The sequence below is a fragment of the Homo sapiens genome, chromosome 3 (genome assembly GCF_000001405.40).
Source record: "Homo sapiens chromosome 3, GRCh38.p14 Primary Assembly".
Taxonomy (NCBI): Eukaryota; Metazoa; Chordata; class Mammalia; order Primates; family Hominidae; genus Homo; species Homo sapiens.
Window position 1 is genome coordinate 178,854,176 of NC_000003.12, and position 12,191 is coordinate 178,866,366.

Below are 12,191 nucleotides of genomic sequence, written 5' to 3' on the forward strand. Positions count from 1 at the left end.
CCAGTCATCCTACCTGCAATCTCTCCACTGCCCTTTACTCCAATTCATCCTCTACATTGTCACCAGAATGAACTTTTGTAAATATATATCTGATCATATCAAACCCTGAGCAAAACCATGCAGTGACTTCCCATTGCCTTTGCGATAAGGCTCAAATGCCTTAGTTTGATCTACATGAACTTCATGCATTCATCCCACGTTGCCTGTTTGATCTCATCTCCCCACCCCTTCCCCACACCCCCACTCCCCAGACCGCTCTGTTCTAGTCACACTGAACTATTTTCTTCAAACCCAGAGGACTTTCTCAGTCTCTTTGTCTATCCTGCCCCCAGTGTAGGTAAAGGGATTGGGGAGAGCATACACTCAGGAGTCCAAAGGCTGGGTTCAAATCTACCCTGGGTGTGTCACTTGTTTTGGTTTGGGTTCACTCACAACTTTGGATTCACCCAGAAGCAGACTGAGACAAGGATTCAAGGGCCAGCAGTTTATTTGAGAGGTTCGGAAAATACCAGCAGGAGAGTAGGGAAAGGAGAAAGAGAAAAAACTTCGCCTTAGTTAACGGAACATTATCAAGCCCGCTGCCTCTATGACAGCTGACATTTTATCCCACAGGGAAACTGTGCAATAACGAAGAACTTTTGCCTCAGAGCTATCCCACCTAAGAATTAGCCACCTGAGAGGTAAGATTCCTCAGTTACTAATACACCAGTTCCTATCAGCCATTGGTTGAGGGTGAAACTGGGGGGTGGAGGTGGGGGATTGGAATATGGGGCTCTGCCATATTAGCAAACCTCTCTGTGTCTCAGTTTTCCCACTCCAAAAGCTAGGATAACACTAGTACCTATCTTTTAGGGTTGTTGTGAGGAGTATATGAGCTAATACATGTAAAGTACTAACAATAGTGCCAAGAACTTAGTAATCACTACATATATTCTAATTGTTGTTGTTAGTATTAATCTCTTACTATGACCTCTTCTGTCACACTAAACATCTGCTGGCAGGAAAATACTCTCCTAGCTCCAAAAGCATGTTCCTATCCTGGCATTCCCCAACCTTACTTTTGATTATATTCTTGGGTGTCTTTCTTTTCTACTAGCTAGTGTCCTGAGAGAAAACTTTGTCAAATTCTATGCCTAGCATAAAGTAGACACTCACTAAGTGTTTGTAGAATTGAGTTGAACTAAGTTGTCTTTCAATAAGACTTGTTTTCCTTTTGTGCCAAATAAAGAAAGAAAGAAGGAAAGAGTTATAGCCAGAAAAAGAAATAAAGAAAACAGAAAGGGAGTATTCAGTCAACATGCATTAATAGCAGGGGCTCAGTTAATATTTGTTGAATGAATTTAAATGTGAATATAAATTGAGCACCTACTATGTATCAGGCATTATGCTAGGCACTTAGACTACAACAATGATTATGTCAAGGTCCCTGCTATGAGAAGATGAGAGAGGATACACAGATTAACAAATGAAAGGAATAGGCATCATTGAGTTAAAGACAAGTTGGGAAAAGACAAGGACAGCCAAGGATAGTCATTGGTTTGGGTCAATGCTCATGAGCTACTATGAAAGTGTTATACAGTCATGACCAAAACTCGACTGGACTCTGAAGCTTCAGGAACTTTCCTGGCATCCTGTGGCACAGGCTTCCTTCTCAGGTACTGAGTATTTCTAATTCCGTGGTCAGCTCAGCACATCAGAAAATGTCACCAGTTCAAGTCCAGACATGAGCTCGCCCCTTTGTTGACTTTCACTTAAATCGCATGGCCATAAATTCAGTCTGTTCACATTATACAAAGGAAAAAAAATATCTTGGAAAGATGTGTTTTCTCAAAACTCTTCATGCACTGATATGGAATATTTGCAAGAGATTTATTAAGTAAAAGAAGCAAGGGAGAAGCCAGTATGTAACACCAGCTTCAAGTACATGGGATGACTGTGGATGCCACTCAGCCTCTTTCCCTAGCCATTCCCCATCACCCAATGGGCTCATAAAATGTGGTCACTGAGGCAGAGATTAAAGATATGCATAGGTTCAGTAATATAAATTCCAAGGCTGATCCAGCTACAGCCACCAATGAATGTCCAATCTTCCAGCATCAGAGAACAACACTGAGTCTCTGACATGACACTATTCTGTAGGGTGATCAATTTGGTTGCAGGTTGATTAGTCTGGACCACTACCATCATCAACAGGGGCAGAAATTTGTTCTTACTGGAATAAAAACTTACTCTGGATAGGAATTTGCCTTTGCTGCATGAAATAATACTGCTGAAAATGCCGTCTTTCAACTTACAAAATGTCTTATCCCTAGTATTCTACCCTCCAGCATTGCTTCTGATTAAAGAACTCACTTTACAGCAAATGAAGTGCAGCAATAGACCCAGGCTCGTGGAATTCACTAGTCTTATGTTCCCCACCATTCTGAAGCAGCTGGTTTGACAGAACGGTGGAATGGCCTTCTGAAGACTCAGTTACCACACCAGCTAGTTGGCAAAGCCTTATAGTGCTGGGTCAATGTTCTCTAGAAAGCTGATTATGTTCTGAATTTTCATCCAATATGTGGTGCTGTTTCTCTGATAGCCAGAATTCAAAAGTCCAGGAATTAAAGGGTAGAAATAGGAGTGGCATCACTCAAAATTAGCCCTAATCATCCACTGACAAAAATTTTGCTTCTCATCTCATGATTTCCCATCCGCAGCAGACCTTTGCCCTGCTGGTCCAAAGGTCTTAGTCTCAAAGAGAGTAAATGCTTCACTACACTGTATGATTTCACTACACTGTAAGTTAAGACTGGCACTCAGCCACTTACTACTCATGGCCCTGAATCAACAGGCAAAGAGGGATTTACTGTGCTGGCTGGGGAGACTGATGTTAATTACCAAGGGAAAAAAAAAACAGGTTGCTATTACAAAATGAGTGTACAGAACAGTATGTGTTGGAATACAGGAGATCCATTATGGCCGCAATCTCCAACTTTTTGGCACCAGGGACCAGTTTCATAGAAGACAATTTTTCCATGAACTGGTGGAAGGGGGAGGCAGTTTCAGGATACTACTGTTCCACCTCGGATCATCGGACATTAGTTAGATTCTCATAAGGAGTGTGCAACCCAGATCCCTCGCATGTGCAGTTCACAATAGGGTTTGCGCACCTATGAGAATCTACTGCCACCGCTGATCTGACTGGAGGCGGAGCTCAGGCTGTAATGCTCCTCACCCGCCACTCACCTCCTGCTGTGCAGCCCAGTTTGGTCCATGACCTGTGGATTGGGGACCCCTGCCTTATGGCATCTTTTAGTACAGCCATGCCTATTGCCTTGAATCGGTGAAAAACTACAACAACCCAGTTCAGGCAGGATAATGGCCCAGATCCTTCAGGAATGAGATTTGGGTCACCCCACCAGGCAAAGAGCCAAGATAAACTTAGGTGCTTGCTGAGGCCAAAATGAAAATGGAATATGTAATGTGTAGTGGAAGAAGGTAGCAACAAATACCAGTTATGATCATATGGCCGGTTGTAGAAATGAGAATTGTGATAGTTATTGGTACTGTTTTCTCATTTTGTTATGAATACATTTGCATATATTTTAACCAAATATATTTGTTTTCTTCCCACTCTTATTCTCTTATCATCTAACATAATATAGATGTTACAGTTTTAATTACAGTTCACTTTACATCAGTTAACTTTACATCAGTATACTTACAGTTTAATTACAGTTGACTTTACATCAGTATACTTAAGTTGCAAGATATTAAGAATAAGAGTGAATGTCACCCAAGGATTTGTGAAATAATTAGTATTCTGGGAAATAATTAGCATATTTGTATTCTACACAGGATACTTGTAACATGTTAAGTGGAAGTATGACTTTGTTACTGTCTTTATTTGGAGATTACGTATCGTTTAAAGAGGTATGTATGAGTGCCAAATTGACAAGCAGTGGACTTGTGATGATCAGTTTTATGTGTCAACTTGACCAGGATATGGTCCCAGTTATTCAATCAAATACTAAATCTAAGTGTCATGTGAAAGTATTTTGTAGACATGATTAGCATCTATGATCAATTGACTCTAAATAAAGAAGATTATACTAGATAATCTGAGTGGGCTCATTTCTATCAGTTGAATTCTGCCTGTGGCCTGAGAGTTCCAGTTTGCCCTTCCTGATAGACTGCCCTAAGGTATACAGATACATATAGGTATACATTTGCCTACACATGACTATCTCTGCAAAATGCACAAGGAACTTATATTGTTGATTGCCTTCTAGGAGGGTACTTAGTGGCTGGAAGTTGGGGGATGCAAAGCTACTTGTCACATATATCCTTTAGTAGCATTCAGTTTTGAACTATTGACTATATTACCTATTCAAAGAGTTTTAATTCCTTTATTTTTAAGAAATGTAATTCTCCAAAAGAATTGGATTCTAATTCTCACCTATTTTCTCTTCCATTTTTCATATACTCTTACATATGAAAAGTTCTTATCTATGTCCACCTAGGTAGATTGCTCCAAGAAAAGTCACTTGAACCATACAGTTTTCAAAATGTGGACTCCTTCAAGCTATACATGCCTTGAAAAGTTCAATGATCAACATAATTTTAAAAGACTTTGAAATTGTTCCAAATAATCTATCTTTGCCAAATTCACAGGCTACAAGCAGAATAAAGGAGAATTTCCCAGCTACCTATCTCATGTATGAAAATATTGTTCAGATCCACTTTGAAATGGGCAAAACATCAAAGAAACAGGTGAGTACTCAATTGCAGCCCAACAGGAAGCCCCATTATGCTATGTTACATATTTCATGTTTCCTGGGATTTGGGGGTGTCATTTGAAGCCATGTAACTTGATGGTGATGCATTGCCTAGGACCAATTTTTGCAGCGTGAAAAGGCAGATGTTGTTATAAAAAATATATACACAATTTCCATAGCAGATATCATCTCCAATTGGGATCCTTACCATAACAGATAAAACTGGCGGGAACTAGCTCTCAATCAATAAAACGACAGGAAATAAAAAGCCAACATACAAATGATACAGAGGGAGACTGAGAAACAGCCCATCACCAGCATGATACTGAAGGTTAAGACTGAGTTTATCTACTGACTGTTTGCTTCCTTTGGCATTAATTTTACTGTAAGCAGAAATGCCATGTCTGTGAATTATAGGATGGAAAATACGGCACTGAAGAAACTAGCTTCTGATGCTTCCAGAAGAAAATAAAAATAACAGCTCCTTTATTAGTAAGCACAGTAAAGTTTAAAAAAAAAAGAAAAGAAAAAGCTAGGCATTGCTGGCACATACCTGTAGTCTCAGCTACTCAGGAGGCTAAGGTGGGGAGGTCGCTCAAGCCCAGGAATTCAAAGCTGCAATGCATTATGATTACAGCTGTTAATAGCCACTGCACTTCAGCCTGGGCAATGTAGTAAGATCCCATCTCTAAAAAATAAAACAAAATAAGATCTAGAGAGCTCAGTTCTTTCAAAGCTCTTTGAGAACAAAGTCTGTGGAAAACCGTGATAACTGCAGCCAACTATCAAGCCACTGCACAATCATCCGGGTTTTCTAGCACTATGGTGACCAAATATAAACTCTTTGCTAAAAATATAAAATCAATATGTTTTCTGTTTCATAGCCTATTAGAAAATAGGTAAGACCCTCGTAAGCAAGGCACAAAACCAAGAAGCCATAGAGGAAAATATTAACAGATTCAAGTACATCAAAATATTGACAGTCAAAAAATCCATAAAACAAAATAAAGTTCGGAAGGGGAGCCAAGATGGCCGAATAGGAACAGCTCCGGTCTACAGCTCCCAGCGTGAGTGAGGCAGAATACAGGTGATTTCTGCATTTCCATCTGAGGCACTGGGTTCATCTCACTAAGGAGTGCCAGACACTGGGCACAGGTCAGTGGGTGCGCACACCGTGCACGAGCCAAAGCAGGGCGAGGCATTGCCTCACCTGGGAAGCGCAAGGGGTCAGGGAGTTCCCTTTCCGAGTCAAAGAAAGGGGTGACGGACGCACCTGGAAAATCGGGTCACTCCCACCCGAATACTGCGCTTTTCCGACGGGCTTAAGAAACGGCGCACCACGAGATTATATCCCTCACCTGGCTCGGAGGGTCCTACGCCCACGGAGTCTCGCTGATTGCTAGCACAGCAGTCTGAGATCAAACTGCAAGGCGGCAGCGAGGCGGGGGGAGGGGCGCCCGCCATTGCCCAGGCTTGATTAGGTAAACAAAGCAGCCAGGAAGCTCCAACTGGGCGGAGCCCACCACAGCTCAAGGAGGCCTGCCTGCCTCTGTAGGCTCCACCTCTGGGGGCAGGGCACAGACAAACAAAAAGACAGCAGTAACCTCTGCAGACTTAAATGTCCCTGTCTGACAGCTTTGAAGAGAGCAGTGGTTCTCCCAGCACGCAGCTGGAGATCTGAGAACGGGCAGACTGCCTCCTCAAGTGGGTCCCTGACCCCTGACCCCTGAGCAGCCTAACTGGGAAGCACCCCCCAGCAGGGGCACACTGACACCTCACACAGCAGGGTATTCCAACAGACCTGCAGCTGAGGGTCCTGTCTGTTAGAAGGAAAACTAACAAACAGAAAGGACATCCACACCAAAAACCCATCTGTACATCACCATCATCAAAGACCAAAAGTAGATAAAACCACAAAGATGGGGAAAAAACAGAACAGAAAAACTGGAAACTCTAAAAAGCAGAGCACCTCTCCTCCTCCAAAGGAACGCAGTTCCTCACCAGCAACAGAACAAAGCTGGATGGAGAATGACTTTGACAAGCTGAGAGAAGAAGGCTTCAGACGATCAAATTACTCTGAGCTACGGGAGGACATTCAAACCAAAGGCAAAGAAGTTGAAAACTTTGAAAAAATTTAGAAGAATGTATAACTAGAATAACCAATACAGAGAAGTGCTTAAAGGAGCTGATGGAGCTGAAAACCAAGGCTCGAGAACTACGTGAAGAATGCAGAAGCCTCAGGAGCCGATGCGATCAACTGGAAGAAAGCGTATCAGCGATGGAAGATGAAATGAATGAAATGAAGTGAGAAGGGAAGTTTAGAGAAAAAAGAATAAAAAGAAATGAGCAAAGCCTCCAAGAAATATGGGACTATGTGAAAAGACCAAATCTGCGTCTGATTGGTGTACCTGAAAGTGATGGGGAGAATGGAACCAAGTTGGAAAACACTCTGCAGGATATTATCCAGGAGAACTTCCCCAATCTAGCAAGGCAGGCCAACATTCAGATTCAGGAAATACAGAGAACACCACAAAGATACTCCTCGAGAAGAGCAACTCCAAGACACATAATTGTCAGATTCACCAAAGTTGAAATGAAGGAAAAAATGTTAAGGGCAGCCAGACAGAAAGGTCGGGTTACCCTCAAAGGGAAGCCCATCAGACTAACAGTGGATCTCTCGGCAGAAACTCTACAAGCCAGAAGAGAGTGGGGGCCAATATTCAACATTCTTAAAGACAAGAATTTTCAACCCAGAATTTCATATCCAGCCAAACTAAGCTTCATAAGTGAAGGAGAAATAAAATACTTTACAGACAAGCAAATGCTGAGAGATTTTGTCACCACCAGGCCTGCCCTAAAAGAGCTCCTGAAGGAAGCGCTAAACATGGAAAGGAACAACCAATACCAGCCGCTGCAAAATCATGCCAAAATGTAAAGACCATCAAGACTAGGAAGAAACTGCATCAACTAATGAGCAAAATAACCAGCTAACATCATAATGACAGGATCAAAGTCACACATAACAATATTAACTTTAAATGTAAATGGACTAAATGCTCCAATTAAAAGACACAGACTGGCAAATTGGATAAAGAGTCAAGACCCATCAGTGTGCTGTATTCAGGAAACCCATCTCACGTGCAGAGACACACATAGGCTCAAAATAAAAGGATGGAGGAAGATCTACCAAAAAAATGGAAAACAAAAAAAGGCAGGGGTTGCAATCCTAGTCTCTGATAAAACAGACTTTAAACCAACAAAGATCAAAAGAGACAAAGAAGGCCATTACATAATGGTAAAGGGATCAATGCAACAAGAAGAGCTAACTATCCTAAATATATATGCACCCAATACAGGAGCACCCAGATTCATAAAGCAAGTCCTGAGTGACCTACAAAGAGACTTAGACTCCCACGCATTAATAATGGGAGACTTTAATACCCCACTGTCAACATTAGACAGATCAACGAGGCAGAAAGTCAACAAGGATACCCAGGAATTGAACTCAGCTCTGCACCAAGCAGACCTAATAGACATCTACAGAACTCTCCACCCCAAATCAACAGAATATACATTTTTTTCAGCACCACACCACACCTATTCCAAAATTGACCACATACTTGGAAGTAAAGCTCTCCTCAGCAAATGTAAAAGAACAGAAATTATAACAAACTATCTCTCAGACCACAGTGCAATCAAACTAGAACTCAGGATTAAGAATCTCACTCAAAACCGCTCAACTACATGGAAACTGAACAACCTGCTCCTGAATGACTACTGGGTACATAACGAAATGAAGGCAGAAATAAAGATGTTCTTTGAAACCAACGAGAACAAAGACACAACATACCAGAATCTCTGGGACGCATTCAAAGCAGTGTGTAGAGGGAAATTTATAGCACTAAATGCCCACAAGAGAAAGCAGGAAAGATCCAAAATTGACACCCTAACATCACAATTAAAAGAACTAGAAAAGCAAGAGCAAACACACTCAAAAGCTAGCAGAAGGCAAGAAATAACTAAAATCAGAGCAGAACTGAAGGAAATAGAGACACAAAAAACCCTTCAAAAAATTAATGAATCCAGGAGCTGGTTTTTTGAAAGGATCAACAAAATTGATAGACCGCTAGCAAGACTAATAAAGAAAAAAAGAGAGAAGAATCTAATAAACGCAATAAAAAATGATAAAGGGGATATCACCACTGATCCCACAGAAATACAAACTACCATCAGAGAATACTACAAAGACCTCTACACAAATAAACTAGAAAATCTAGAAGAAATGGATAAATTCCTTGACACATACACTCTCCCAAGACTAAACAAGGAAGAAGTTGAATCTCTGAATAGACCAATAACAGGATCTGAAATTGTGGCAATAATCAATAGCTTACCAACCAAAAAGAGTCTAGGACCAGATGGATTCACAGCTGAATGCTACCAGAGGTACAAGGAGGAACTGGTACCATTCCTTCTGAAATTATTCCAATCAATAGAAAAAGAGGGAATCCTCCCTAACTCATTTTATGAGGCCAGCATCATTCTGATACCAAAGCCAGGCAGAGACACAACAAAAAAAGAGAATTTTAGACCAATATCCTTGATGAACATTGATGCAAAAATCCTCAATAAAATACTGGCAAAACGAATCCAGCAGCACATCAAAAAGCTTATCCACCATGATCAAGTGGGCTTCATCCCTGGGATGCAAGGCTGGTTCAATATATGCAAATCAATAAATGTAATCCAGCATATAAACAGAGCCAAAGACAAAAACCACATGATTATCTCAATAGATGCAGAAAAAGCCTTTGACAAAATTCAACAAGCCTTCATGCTAAAAACTCTCAATAAATTAGGTATTGATGGGACGTATTTCAAAATAGTAAGAGCTATCTATGACAAACGCACAGCCAATATCATACTGAATGGGCAAAAACTGGAAGCATTCCCTTTGAAAACTGGCACAAGACAGGGATGCCCTCTCTCACCACTCCTATTCAACATAGTGTTGGAAGTTCTGGCCAGGGCAATTAGGCAGGAGAAGGAAATAAAGGGTATTCAATTAGGAAAAGAGGAAGTCAAATTGTCCCTGTTTGCAGACGACATGATTGTATATCTAGAAAACCCCATTGTCTCAGCCCAAAATCTCCTTAAGCTGATAAGCAACTTCAGCAAAGTCTCAGGATACAAAATCAATGTACAAAAATCACAAGCATTCTTATACAACAACAACAGACAAACAGAGAGCCAAATCATGAGTGAACTCCCATTCACAATTGCTTCAAAGGGAATAAAATACCTAGGAATCCACCTTACAAGGGATGTGAAGGACCTCTTCAAGGAGAACTACAAACCACTGCTCAAGGAAATAAAAGAGGATACAAACAAATGGAATAACATTCCATGCTCCTGGCTAGGAAGAATCAATATCGTGAAAATGGCCATACTGCCCAAGGTAATTTACAGATTCAATGCCATCCCCATCAAGCTACCATTGACTTTCTTCACAGAATTGGAAAAAACTACTTTAAAGTTCATATGGAACCAAAAAAGAGCCCGCATCGCCAAATCAATCCTAAGCCAAAAGAACAAAGCTGGAGGCATCACACTACCTGACTTCAAACTATACTACAAGGCTACAGTAACCAAAACAGCATGGTACTGGTACCAAAACAGAGATATAGATCAATGGAACAGAACAGAGCCCTCAGAAATAACGCCGCATATCTACAACTATCTGATCTTTGACAAACCTGAGAAAAACAAGCAATGGGGAAAGGATTCCCTATTTAATAAATGGTGCTGGGAAAACTGGCTAGCCATATGTAGAAAACTGAAACTGGATCCCTTCCTTACACCTTATACAAAAATCAATTCAAGATGGATTAAAGACTTAAACGTTAGACCTAAAACCATAAAAACCCTAGAAGAAAACCTAGGCATTACCATTCAGGACATAGGCATGGGCAAGGACTTCATGTCTAAAACACCAAAAGCAATAGCAACAAAAGACAAAATTGACAAATGGGATCTAATTAAACTAAAGAGCTTCTGCACAGCAAAAGAAACTACCATCAGAGTGAACAGGCAAACTACAAAATGGGAGAAAATTTTCGCAACCTACTCATCTAACAAAGGGCTAATATCCAGAATCTACAATGAACTCAAACAAATTTACAAGAAAAAAACAAACAACCCCATCAAAAAGTGGGCGAAGGACATGAACAGACACTTCTCAAAAGAAGACATTTATGCAGCCAAAAAACACATGAAAAAATGCTCATCATCACTGGCCATCAGAGAAATGCAAATCAAAACCACAATGAGATACCATCTCACACCAGTTAGAATGGCAATCATTAAAAACTCAGGAAACAACAGGTGCTGGAGAGGATGTGGAGAAATAGGAACACTTTTACACTGTTGGTGGGACTGTAAACTAGTTCAACCATTGTGGAAGTCAGTGTGGCGATTCCTCAGGGATCTAGAACTAGAAATACCATTTGACCCAGCCATCCCATTACTGGGTATATACCCAAAGGATTATAAATCATGCTTCTATAAAGACACATGCACACGTATGTTTATTGTGGCACTATTCACAATAGCAAAGACTTGGAACCAACCCAAATGTCCAACAATGATAGACTGGATTAAGAAAATGTGGCACATATACACCATGGAATACTATGCAGCCATAAAAAATGATGAGTTCATGTCCTTTGTAGGGACATGGATGAAATTGGAAAACATCATTCTCAGTAAACTATCGCAAGAACAAAAAACCAAACACCACATATTCTCACTCATAGGTGGGAACTGAACAATGAGATCACACGGACACAGGAAAGGGAATATCACACTCTGGGGACTGTTGTGGGGTGGGGGCAGGGGGGAGGGATAGCATTGGGAGATATACCTAATGCTAGATGATGAGTTAGTGGGTGCAGTGCACCAGCATGGCACATGTACACATATGTAACTAACCTGCACCATGTGCACATGTACCCTAAAACTTAAAGTATAATAAAAAAATAAAAATAAAAAATAAAGTTCACAAGCAAGTGAAAAACACAGGTAAAATGCTTGTAATTCATATAGTAAACAAATTAAAAATATGTTGAATAAATTAACAATATGTTGAATAAATGAGCTCCTAAAAAGCTATTTAAAAAGGCACCCCAAACAAGAATCAGCAAAGTATAGGCACAGGTAATTCATAGGAAAGGAAATAAAAATGGCCAATAAGTGCTTGAAAAGATGTTTAATATAACATTAGTAATCAAGAAAAAATAAACCAAAACAACAAGGATATTTCATTCCCCCGCAATCAGGCTGAAAAATATTAAAATGTTATGATTCTCAATGTTGACAAGGGTGAGGACGAATGAGTACTGTACTCTGTGGTTGTGTGAGGATAAATTAGTA

The 12,191-nt window shown here is 40.5% G+C and overlaps 1 long non-coding RNA gene across 2 annotated transcripts in view, besides 1 other annotated feature; it reads right to left on the reverse strand.

The window, feature by feature from the left end:
- The window catches only part of KCNMB2-AS1 (KCNMB2 antisense RNA 1), a 334,939-nt gene extending 328,709 nt beyond the window's left edge, over nt 1–6,230 (reverse strand). For both annotated transcript variants that reach the window (NR_126560.1, NR_126561.1), the window contains exons 1-2: nt 6,119–6,230; nt 5,314–5,448 (exon numbers count right to left, since the gene is read on the reverse strand). This is a non-coding gene — a long non-coding RNA (KCNMB2 antisense RNA 1). The remainder of the gene's footprint in view (nt 1–5,313; nt 5,449–6,118) is intronic.
- Nucleotides 6,190–7,016: an enhancer, noted in NCBI's record as "OCT4-NANOG-H3K27ac-H3K4me1 hESC enhancer chr3:178578153-178578979 (GRCh37/hg19 assembly coordinates)". NCBI's record gives its function as "activates a minimal SCP1, AML or CMV promoter by ChIP-STARR-seq in naive H9 embryonic stem cells {active_cell/tissue: H9 hESC(naive)}" and the evidence as "EXISTENCE:reporter gene assay evidence [ECO:0000049][PMID:30033119]".